Source organism: Homo sapiens, chromosome 5 (assembly GCF_000001405.40).
Source record: "Homo sapiens chromosome 5, GRCh38.p14 Primary Assembly".
NCBI classification, from domain to species: Eukaryota; Metazoa; Chordata; class Mammalia; order Primates; family Hominidae; genus Homo; species Homo sapiens.
Genome location: NC_000005.10, coordinates 51,268,361 through 51,281,281, shown reverse-complemented (window position 1 = coordinate 51,281,281; position 12,921 = coordinate 51,268,361). Strand labels below are relative to the sequence as shown.

General features: G+C 37.0%; 1 pseudogene, besides 1 other annotated feature; it reads right to left on the bottom strand.

Moving 5' to 3' along the window:
* Positions 2,200-2,791: an enhancer, noted in NCBI's record as "OCT4-NANOG hESC enhancer chr5:50574325-50574916 (GRCh37/hg19 assembly coordinates)". NCBI's record gives its function as "activates a minimal SCP1, AML or CMV promoter by ChIP-STARR-seq in primed H9 embryonic stem cells {active_cell/tissue: H9 hESC(primed)}" and the evidence as "EXISTENCE:reporter gene assay evidence [ECO:0000049][PMID:30033119]".
* Positions 5,502-6,065, bottom strand: RPS10P12 (ribosomal protein S10 pseudogene 12; annotated as a pseudogene).

Sequence of the window (12,921 nt, the reverse complement as noted above, 5' to 3'; positions counted from 1 at the left end):
AAAAATGAAGACTCAAAGACCCAGGGAAAACTTTCCATTTCTATGCTTAGATTCAATGAAGAATGGACAGCCATGTAGAAATGTGCTTGAACAAAAGAGTATGCTCTAATGGCAATAGATTAAAGGGGAACCCAGAAAGTGCTATGTATTCAGATTCTCCTTGGCTTCTCTGTGTAGCATTCCTTCTCCCCAGCTGCAGGACAGGACCTGTCTGGGATGAGGGTCTTATGACTTACTTTCAGGCAAGGTGGGTACAGAATTTATGGTCAGATCTCACACAGAAAAATGGGAAGGTCAGAATGCCTTTCTTACTTCTGAGGCCTCCAAAAATGCTTTGGGGTAGTGTTTTCTGAGCCATGACCTATATTATACAAATAAATAGAAGATTGTTGTTTTCACTCAAGAGCAAATGATGTTAGAGTCCAGCGAAAATGATTTTCTTCAGAAGCCAAAAAGCTCTTCATGAACTCAAAATATTAAGTTGATTTTCACTGATTTACAATTTTTATAACCATAAAATATTAATAGCTAGCATGTAATGGCTGAGTAAAAGATAGGTTCCTGCTTAAAAGCTCACTGTTGGTAATATATCTGTTGTTTCAGGCTGAATGTTTCAAATTCTTTTGCCTTCCCATATCATTTCTCTTTTTATCATTAAGGTAGCTTTTAGCATGAGAGGCTCTAAATTGCTAATTAATTAAAATTGCTGCCCAGTTCCCTTCAGCCGCTTATATAGCCCACATTGAGCTTTGCAGCTGGGTGAGTGCGACCTTCGAATATCAATCTCATAATTGGCTGCACGATGTTACGCCTCTCAAATATGCAGTCCACTGAACCACATGAAAAACATAAAGCCTCATTTTTTCTATACTAATTTGACATATAGATTTATATCACATTTAACCTGTACAAGAACTCTTTGAAATCAATATTTGCGATATGTATTCTGGATTTTGACTTTCTCTGTTCTATGTAGGAAACATTCTTCTTCTCTTGATGCCCCAGAGAGGACAACAAAATAGTGCTGCTTGTAAGCTGGGCTTTCTGGCTCACTGCCAACAGAAAGGAAAGCAGCACAGACTGCTGAGCAGTGTCTGGCAGCCATGCACAAGTCCTTCAACACCTTTGCAGGGAGCTTGAATTCTATGGTCATCCACAGTGGCGTGCCCTCTCAAGGGAAGCCAGCATTCTTGGGCTTCCTTAGTGGAAACATGGCCTCCCAAACCTGAGAAGGAAAAGCCCTGAATTTAATGCATCTTGAATGTCCTGTTCAATCTCTGCCAGCAAATCTGATAACAATAGTTACATTTTTGTAAGCATTCACATCAGGCGTGAAACTTTGACATGCGATGTGCTTTTTCTTATTTATTCCCTAAATTAATTCTAGAAGTAGATACATTTTGATCCCATTTACAGTTATGGAAAATGGGATTTAGAGATTATAATAATTTCTCATCTTTGGCCAGGTTTCCCTGAAACAGAAACAGAGGTGAGGATTCTGATGCAAGTGCTTTATTAAGAAAGTGCTTCTGGGAGAAACCAGTAGGAAAATGAGAGAAGTGGGGCAGGGAGGAGAAACAGAATGAAAGGCAGAGAGATTGAGAAAATAAATGTTTCCAACCAGAATCAGGTCCATCACCAAGAAAATATTGACAGCTATTTATTTCACTAAGGTAAACGTAGAAGCTTTTAAACTGCAGACTCTGTTGAATCAACTCTGCACTTTCGTTGCCTATCCTGAAGTGGCTCTAAAAAATAAGAACTCCTCCCATGAGTTGGTTAACTACCCTCAATGCATCTGTAAATTGACTATTTAGATTAACACTGTTTTGGAACAAAGAGATCTTTCTCTTTGTTTAAAGAGAAAGATCTTTAAACAGTTTAAAGAGAAAGATCTTTAAAGAGAAAGAGATCTTTCTCTTTAATTTAGATTAACACTGTTTTGGAACAAAGATCTTTCTCAAGATCTTCAATGTTTTTAAAGTAAATACATAGAATTTGAATAATTTAAGAGCTTCAGTGTCAGTCTTTAAAAAAACATAAAAGCATAAGTAAAAATATTTGCAGATAGCCTCCAAAACAGTTTTTTCTTAAAATAAATAATTAATAAACTTGTCTGTACCAGATTATTTATTTTGGGTTGTTTTGACTCAATTTTGTAGCCATGTTCTCTTTCTGTGATATTCAGGTTTTTGTTTTGTTTTGTTTTTTGTTTTTTTGTTTGTTTTTTGGCTTTTTGTTTGTTTTTACTCTATTTTTAAATGATGTAGCTTCAAGGTCTCAGTGTAGTCTTAGTCTATCAGCACGGAGAAGTTCTGTTGTGGAGGTTGTCCCTTACTGAACACAGTGATTGTTAAGGCTCATTCTGGGGCATGTAAATTCCTAGGTACCTCCCATTCTTTGTATTGAAAGGCAAAAGAGGCTTCTGAAGTCTGAGGACACTCCTGAGGAGGAAATGATATAGATGCTGGCAATTCAAGGGGAAGTTCAGTGAAGGAGGCCTGGGGTGATCAACATGCCTCTCAGTAGCCATGGAGCTAAAATGTAGCAAAGCCGAGATTTCAGCCAAGCTCTCTCTGTCTCTACAGCTCAGGAATTTTAACCACCATCCTGAATGTGAGCCAAAAGTGGTCTGGCACACGGACAATCAGGGTAATGGAGGGTCTGTGTATTGTGTCCATGAGGTGCTGCTGACAAACGTTAATGATAAGCATCCTAGAGTAGGGAAGGCTAGAGACAGAAAAATAAAGTAGCCATGAATTATTTTGAGGGCTGTCAAGACCTTAGAAGCAGGAGTTGTTCTGAACTAGGTTGTTCCCAAGTACAGATTCTCACTCATAAGTGGGAGTTCAACAATGAGAACACATGGAACAGGGAGGGGAATGTTACGCACCAGGACCTGTTGAGGGGTGGTGGACTAGGGGAGGGATAGCATTAGGAGAAATACCTAATGTAGATGACAGGTTGATGGGTGCAGCAAACCACCATGGCACCTGTATACCTATATAAAAAACCTGCACATTCTGCACATATATCCCAAAACTTAAAGTATAATGATTAAAAAAAAAAAAAAAACTAAAAAAAAAGGATATAGGGGAATAAAATGAAGATTGCTAAAAGCAAGTGTTTTAGGGCAGTAAGACTTTTTCAGTTATTGAATCAACCATTTCTTGAAAAAAAATGGCCATGCTTCCCATTGTCAGTCTAGAATATCATCTGTCAACAATGTCCGTTACATGGGAATTGAACTATGAGATAGACTTCTAAAGTCCTCTGATTTTCTAAAATGAGGACTTAGTTTGGAGGAGCCATTTGACTTGTTGCCTTGGCATTTCTAGACATAAACGTTATGGCATATTACAACTATATCCCCTTTTTATTTTTTTGAGACGGATTCTCGCTCTGTCGCCCAGGCTGGAGTGCAGTGGCGCAATCTCCGCTCACTGCAAGCTCCACCTCCCGGGCTCACGCCATTCTTCTGCCTCAGCCTCCGGAGTAGCTGGGACTACAGGCGCCCACCACCACCCACGGAGAAGTTTTTGTATTTTTAGTAGAGACGGGGTTTCACTGTGTTAGCCAGGATGGTCTCGATCTCCTGACCTCGTGATGCACCCGCCTCCGCCTCCCAAAGTGCTGGGATTACAGGCGTGAGCCACCGCGCCCGGCCTATATCCCATTATTTTAATGCAAAATCAAATATACTAACTTCTAGTTGAAATGTAAAACTTAAAAAGAGTCAATTGCACTGTTTACACCCCATCACCTTTCCCATCACATCTGTTCCTTTGTAATAAGCAAATAAGCCAGGAGACAAGATGACTGCTGCATTAGGGAACTGGGTATCTGCAAATGCCCTCTACATTGCATAGAAGAAATTTGGACAAAATTGAAGCTACATCATTTAAAAATAGAGTTTAAAAAGTGACTATCACAGCAGAGAACATGGCTACAAAATTCGAGTCAAAACAACCCAAAATAAATAATCTGGTACAGACAAGTTTAATAATTAATTATTATTCTTAAGAAGAAACTGTTTTAGAGGCTATCCGCAAGTATTTTTACTTATGCTTTTACGTTTTTTAAAGACTGACACTGAAGGTCTTAAATTATTCCAATTCTTTGTATTTACTTTAAAAATATTAAAAATCTTGAGACAGATTTCTTTGTTCTAAAATAATGTTAATCTAAATAGTCAATTAACAGGTACACTGAGGGTAGTTAACCAACTCATGGAATGAGTTCTTATTTTTTAGTGACACATAAGGATAAACAAGGAAAGTGCAGAGTTGATTTTTTACAGAATTCAACAGAGTCTGAAGTTTAAAAGCTTCTATGATTTCCTTAATGAAAAAATAGTTGTCAATATTTTCTTGGTGATGGAACTGATTCTGGTTGGAGGCATTTATTTTCTCAATCTCTCTGCCATTCACTCTGTTTCTCTCTTGTTCTGTATGCTTCTTTCTCTCTTATCTTGCTTTCTAGATTACTTAAAGAAGAGAAACCCTCCTGTGAAAAGATATCAAATTTTCTATTCCCTGGCCAAAAACAAGTGTGCACAGTCAGATGAGGCAGTTAATATGAATAGAAATTCCTGAGAAGGTTGTGTTTTTTTTTTTTCCTTCACTAATAGAAATATGATACCTGTCAGCAAGTTCCCATTTAATAAATGGCAGCCTGGCTTATTGTAATATTCTTCTAGTTCCCATTGATAGGTAAGATTTTCTACATTTTGGTGCGTCATAGATTTACAATCAATTATCCTGTTTGAATGTCCAGTGGAGACCCATTTCTCTACGTAGAGATGCTGCTGTTGTTTGATGTTGCAATAGAATCTCTTGGCATGCATTGGTGCATTATTGTGTCACCCTGCCTTCTTTCATTGCTCTGATGGAAAGACAATCTTCTTGCCTTTTACCTCCTCTTACCTATAAGGGTGGAAGTGGGTGAGCCATTACTACAGTTCATATATCACTGCACCATTCTACTAGCACAATTAAACTAGATTTGAGAAACAATCAGAACAATAGTTTTCTTCCAGCCACCCTTGCCTCTAATAGCAGCATTTTGCTAATTGGCTCCTAGAATGTCCTTAACTTTATCCTAGCATATTGACCCTTAGGAAGGGAACTAATTATGTTTTCACATTGTTTGCTTTACAGTGATTTATATACGTCTTTGCTGATATTCCTATTGTGGTCTGCAGACGGTGCTAGCTCTGTTTTCCATTTTGTTTCCCCCTTTGACTCATGAGCCACTGTCTTGAATTGGTATGACTTCTCCATTCTCACCCTTTATCACTTGGGACTTTCCCAGTTCATCTTTTCTTTCAGGTCTTATCTATTTCTCTGGATCTCTTTCTCAAGCTCCCTCCTCCATCTTGTCCATCTTGTTCAGTTCCACTTCCTTTCCTTCCCTTCTGCCAGTCTTATTTCAACTTCAATAACTTTAACTCACCTTTTGTGAATATATTCTTTTTCCTTTGGGCTTTCAAGTGTTTTTTTTTTTTTTTCTGTAAGTTTAGTCAATGCAAAATAATCCTCTCCAATTTTACTGAGGTGGTTGACCACGTCAACGACCAAATCCACCTCTAAACTGGAATTCGGTTGTTGACCCAGCCCCAACCGCGGCTTTCTTGTAGGCACCAGGGAGCACAGCACTCTGTCTGCAGATATCTCTGTCGGCTTCCCCTCTTGTGAGTCTTGCAGGTTGCTTACCCTCCACACCTTTAGGCCGAGGCCTGCCATTCTCTGGACGGCTGTGCACAATCTCTGGGGGCAGGTGAAGGTAATCACAGAGATACTGGATACCCTCCTTGGTGAGGTCGCAGTAGAAATGTCTCCAGGCAAAGTGTTCCTTCATGTAGCCTTGGGACTTCAGAGACTGCATGGCCTTCATGAGTGAACGTTGGGCACATTCTTGTCTGCCAGCTCTGGGTGCTTAGGCATGTGGACATCCTTCTTGGCCACCATGACTCCCTCCTTAAAAATGAGTTCATAAGTGGCAATCTGATTCTTCTTAGGCATCAACATTTCGGCAGCTTTAGGGTCTGGGGCCAGGGCTGGAAATAAATGTTGTTGTTGTTGTTGTTGTTTAAATAAGTATTTATTATTTCAATGTTTCAAACATACAGCAAGTACATTAAGGATATAACACTCTTGTGCATAACTACCTTAATACTATGAAATATTTTTTCTTGAAAATTTTGAAAGAATCAATTAAACATTACATATACATTTGTGAGCCTGTATTTTCCTCAATTTTATCCACTCCTTTTCTTCTATTCATGGAAGTAAACACTATTATTAAATCAGGACTTATTTTCTCATATGCATTTGCTATATATTTATGCATATATAAATTTTATGGTGCTTTTTGCAATTTTAAACTATGTATAAAGTGTGTTATACCTAACTTTTTCCACTCCACATTATGTTTTTAGATTTATTCATGTTGAGAGATATAGCAGTAATTCATTTGTTTTGACTGCTGAGAAATATTCCCTTGTGTGAATATATCATGATGTATTTATCTGTTTTCAAGTTAATAAAACTTTAAGTTATGTCTAATTTGTTGCTTTTATTGACAAGGCTGCAAAGAACTTTCTTGTGTATGTCTTTTTATGCACATATAGATTTCCCCAAGGCTTGGGATGTGATTATCTTCATCTATACTAGTGTCATTTTGCTCTCTTCTGTGGCTGCACTGACTTATGCTTCTACTCTTGAAGTACAGTAGGGAACAGAGACCAGTGTGTGAGCACTTTGTCCTTTATGAGTTACTCCTATAATGTACATAAGCCAAGGAGGTAACATGGAAGGATGGACTTCAAGAGACAAGACAAATGGCTGAAGTTCTGCTATAGATAATTGTATGAGTAGTGTAACTAAATGTATAGCCTAATTGTAAAAACAACTTTGAACACCAATGTTTGTAGGCATAAAATACAGTAGAGACCATACAACTGATGATAATTCCACTTACCAAGTCTTAAAGACTTGGTAAATAGAAAGCTGGAAGCTTCATGTTGGTCTTTGTAACTCACAAAGTACTATCCTCTTCCTATAAGTATTTCTCCCTTTTGCAGACAGGCCTATGGCATATTTGCTTTTGCACCTTTTAACATCTTTCTACATCAATACAGACCTTGCCTAATTCTTTACACTAAGGACCTAATTTTATAAGCTCTGTCAATACTTTTGGATTATAGGGCTTCATATTATCTGGTTAAAATCAACAGCAGTTTTTCCATTCAACAGATACGGAGCTCCTGATAAGTGCTACTTTTCTAGGCCCTAAAGATTTGTCAGGGAACAAAACAGAAATGCTCCTGGCACACACAGAGCTTACAATTTAGTTGGGAGAAAAATACAAAGAGGGGGACACAATAATTTCAGATAGTGTGAAAGTGTGAAGCATATCAAGGAAATCAAATGGATCTGAGAATGTCTGGGACTGGTTTATGAACATCTTCCATATTCCAATGACATGGCATCAATTTACCAATCTTGTACACAGTGCAAGGTGCTAGAGAATAGAGTCTTTTTCTTTTGAACTTGATTTGAGATTACAACAGTATTACTCATATGAGGGATTTTGATGTCATCAGATGATCATATGATGTAATGGTCACCGCAGTAGTTAAATATTTATTTAAGTAAAAGACAAACAATCTAGAAGTTGCAAAAAAGAAATTGTAAAAGCTTCAACACAGGAGAGTTCACACATCACACAAGAAAAGTAACCAGGACACAAGGTAGGCTATGTTGGCTAATGAATGAGAAGTGCACCCTTGAGAACTAAAGGAGCCAAGAAGAAAACATGTCACTTTGGGGTTGTCAAGAAAGAATTTCAGAAGAAGCTATGATTTAGGCTTGAAGAATGATTGTTATTTGATATTGAGATTATAAACCTGGATAGGTGTGGCATTATACTTCTCTATAAAATTAATTCATTCACTCTGACAGCTTTTCTCTTCTTGCCCCAGATTCCATTCTGACTTAATTGAACTTCCAGTTAGCATCTGCTTATTAGGCCTGATCTCTTCCCTGGAATGGTCTTCAATTGTTCTTTCCTTGTCTCTTCCCGGCCTTGTGGTTTCTTTACTTCATTATGGTGGGCGGATCTGGAATTCCTCTGTGCCCCAAATCACCTGCATGCTGCCAGGCGTGTCCTAAAATGGCTTTTCTCTTCCCTTCTGTTACTTGGCACAGCCACAATCAATGTGTAGAAAAGGACTCACACAAAGAAAAACAAAATCATAGTGATTTTCTCTGGATTTAAAAACAATTCTCTTGGTAGCAATCTTCCTTTAGAGTTCTGTTTTCTATTTTCAATAGCGACCTTGACACATTTCCTTCCATTTCGTTGTTTGTTTGTTTAAAAGAATGCAGGAACAAAACAAAGGAACCAATATGTTTTATCGCATTGACAATTAAGAAGCACAGGTTCAAAGGAAAGGTTAGTTTGGAAGACAGTTTGAGAAAAAATTAAAGAAAAAAAGAATGGATATGTTAGGAATTCCATAAAAGGAAAAACAACCAAAGGAAGCTATGAAACTAGAATACATAGAATTCTAAATAATAGCAACTGGAAAACATAGAGCCTAATTTAGTAGCATCTACAATTTTTCTCAAAATAACTCACAATGCCTTTCGGTATCAGATTATGTTTCAGGAACTTAATTTTTTTTTTAAACTGTTTTTATTTACTCAACATATTTGTGACCTTTAAGCAACACAGTAATCATTGCAAAACAGAGTATGAACTGAATTTCCGCCTTTGAACTTCTGACTTGTGGTCTAGAATACAGACAGACATTCAGACAAACCATCACTGGAATATGATCCTTAACTGAGGCAGCTCAGCTAAGGATCATGGGGGCAGCTGGGAGGGAGTACAGTGAAATGGAACCTGCATATAGTCTCTCTGGGGAATAACACCCTATTCCTAGGGTTGCTTCAGAAAATTTTGGCATCTTTTCACTTTTACATTACAATTAAAATTTTAAAGCTAGAGTTGTTAACTCTGAAACTTTTCAATATTCCTTCTTTAGAAAATGCAATCCAGTCTTCTTCTTCACTCTTCTTGCTTCATCTGCTCATTTTTTCTAGCTGCCTTCCACCCACTTCTGATTTCTCATCATGTACTCAAATCTCTCACTCCTTCTTCCTGGCTTTATGCTCTAGGCTGAGAGACAGGGTGTAGACCATGTTTTCTATTTTACTGTATTCTCTATCCAGTGATATCATTTACTTAGCTCTGTGTTCCCACCCAAATCTTACCTCGAATTGTAATTCCTATAATCCCCATGTGTCAAGAATGGGACCAGGTGAAGGTAATTGAATCATGGTGGCAGTTTGCCCATGCTGTTCTCGTGATAATGAGTGAGTCTCACGAGATCTGATGGTTTTATGAGCGTCTGGCATTTCCCCTGCTTACACTCATTCTCTCTCCAGCCGCCCTGTGAACAGGTGCCTTCCGCCATGATTGTAAGTTTCCTGAGGCCTCCCCAGCCATGCAGAACTGTGAGTCAATTAAATCTCTTTTCTTTATAAATCACCCAGTCACAGGTGGTTCTTCGTAGCAGCATGAGAACAGACTAATACACACAGCTGTAGTGCCTAGTGCAGGGTTCTGCTAAGAGAAGGCTTGTTGACAAAATGCCCAAAGTTTCTAAAGCCACCACAGTGACAGGGTGTTATTGCAATGCTATCTTCTTATGGATTTCAGAAGGAAATCAAGGGAACTGATTAAACAGCGACTGTATTTTCACTGCGGAATCACCTCCGTGAGAATCAGTGGGAAGTAAATTACAGGAAAGAAACCTGCAGAGAAAGTTATTCTTGATTAGACATCACTTTCACTGACCGCTCCAAGGGAAGCCCAGTGCTCAGCAGTAGCACATTTTGACACAGAGCACAGGAACTGTGTGAGCTAGGGCTGAAAGAAAAATAACCGGTTACAGAAACTGCTTTGGGATTCTATTTTAGCATGAACAGAAAACCTAAGGATTCCTTCGCAGATCGGTATTTTAGAAGGGAAATACAAATTTGTCTATGAGATAATACTGCTTTCCAAACAGAAGCCTCCTGTCAGTGTATTGATATCGTTTTTAAAAAACATATCATTTACTTTCTAATTGTTTTAAGTACAAAATTCCTACATAAATGATTACTGATGTAAGACTCAAACAATGCAGAAATGTACAAAGTAAAATGCTGTATTTCCCTTCTGTTCTTCCCCTTGAAGGCAACCCCCATTAATTAACATATACCATTCTTGTCTTTCATTTCTCCATATATGCCATATACAATCAATTTAAAAAATATAAAGAGACTAGATACTAAATTTCTGTTGCTCTGTGTTGGGAGATAAGTATTGTTCCCATTTTGTAGAAAAAGAAAGCCTTTGACTGTAGTTGATCATCTCAAGCCACTGAGCACAGAAAAGTGAAAAAAGCTGAGACTCAAACTTCCTTATGTCACATTCAAGGCTCCTCTGTATATTCTTTCTTCTTCAAATGTTACTGCCCATTACAGGACAGGCCCATTTTAAAATGTTGATTCACACCAGAAGAGCTGTTTACATAAAGAGGGCAATAGAGTCTCTATTGGCGTAAAATAACAATTTAGTATCTTATAAGGACATATGTACACAAAATCAATAGTATATTCTATGCCAGTGGTTTTCAATATATAGTTTCTTGACAATTAGCATCAACACCCCCAGAAACTTAGAAAAGTAAATTCAGGAGGAGCCTCACCCAAGACCTACTGCATGAGGATATCTGGGGTTAGAAAGCAGCAATCTGGCTGTAATAAATCCTCTGGGTTATTCTGATGTGCATTAAAACTTGAGAAACACAGTTTTATCCAGTAAACTGGCAAAAGATAAAAAAAAAATTGCTATTTAAATCTGAAGAACTACCTATTTGAACCTTTGTGCTGAAATATCTTCTTATTGAGGTCAAAAGATATACCCCCTACAGAGATCAAAAGACAGCTTTCTCACTGAAATACTAGCAGCTGCTCTTCGTCTGGTCTAGTCCTGGCTTATTGCTTCCAGGTATAGTAGTAGAATTTCATTTCCCTTTAATGTATTCTTTATATTTCTTGCTACTGTGAAGATTAGTTTTTAAAATTATTCTCAATATATTTCTCTATGATTTCTCATTTTCCACATAAGAACATGAAATAATTTTATACTTTCTAGTGATTAATTTAACTCTGGAAGCTAAAAATAAAATAGATAACAAACAAATGAATTCAAAATAGAAATAAAATTTCCAAAATCCTAAATGCAAATAATGCCAAGCAAGATGGTTACCTTTTGGTGACTAACTGATAAAAACCTACTTCATGTGAATGGAGGAGGAGCATAAATAACTAGAGTGAGAACACAGACTATTGTTCAAAAACTTTTCTCACAACATGTCATGATTTGAACCAGCCTTGCTACTCTCTTCACCGCTGTGGAAGAGACCTGACATTTTACTCACAACATCATTCTTTGGCTCAGCATCTATTTAAGGGATCTCAGAGCCTTGGGGGGCCTCTTGGATACTCTATCATCAGCCTGATGTGAAAAAATGATATGAGGGAGAGAGTCCATTAATAGCTCTTTCTGTTAAGTTAGAGGAATGTTGACTTGTTGAATGTGAATATTATCATCCCCCCAAAATTAGATGTTGAGCAATGAATGATCAAATCTACAAGAAACCCAGATAATGAACACCATATATCTTTCTTCTGTGGGAATAAACCAATCAAATATGTGTGGCCTGATAAACTTTGATATGCTTTCTTTTCAGGTGAATAAAATCCAAGATAATATTGAATTGTTGGCTTTTCCTTCACAGGGAGCAGTATTTCACTGAGGAAGCTGGTAACATAGAGCTATCCAAATGAAATTATAACAATAGAAAATCTGTACCATACAACATAGCATAATATAATCATATTGCTGCTTGGAAAAAGATTAATCACTAATCACAGTACAATTTTTAATTAAAAAGAAGGTGGGAACTAGATGAAAAAAATTAGGGATGTTCAGTAAGCTAGTGATCAAAGCCAAACACTAAATTAAAATGTTTTCTATGAAAGTATGAATCTGCTTATGCAGATTATCCCACTGAATTATTCCACCATCTGCAGAATTCATGCCTTTTTGCTTGACTCATTTGTTACAAGTAGCTTATCAACAATAGCACCCAATATTAACATAAATACGTGATTCTTAGATGATGATAGAATGAGAAAATTGGAAAGTCATACCCATTTTGAAAAATTAAACCAGCACTAGGTTTTCATGCCATGTATTACAGTATCAGTGAGACTGTTTCTTTTAAGAAATTCAGCAATATCCCTCACTCCTAAGCAAACAACAAACGTTGATGGTATCACAGAGAATGTTGAAACATTTGAGGATGTTCTTCTTTGTTGATCTAGTCATAATTTCAATGCAGAATATGAAGAAAGTTGGAAGCCTGTTGAATGAGAAATCTGTACTGCTAGTGGTAGTCACATGTACTAAGAAAATTTTAGAAATCACATTTTTATTTAAAACATATTGTAAAACATAATTACAAAGGATGGATATTCACAATATGGTGCCTGAATTGTGCATCATATGCACATATTAAAATGGTATAATGGTATAATATGTGCATGAATGATATATGTGCATGTATCAAATTATATATAAAAATATATCAAATTATATAATGATATAATATGTGCATGTATCAAATAATTATGATAGCAGACTTACTACTTCTTTAGCTTTTATTTATATGGTAATTATTCAGAAAAGATTTGGGCAAGTTTTTATACATGGAATACACACTGTTGATCTCTGTGAGCTATGTTTCTCTAGTTTGGGGAAATAATTGGAGCATATAAGTGGGATTAGGAAGATTTTTGT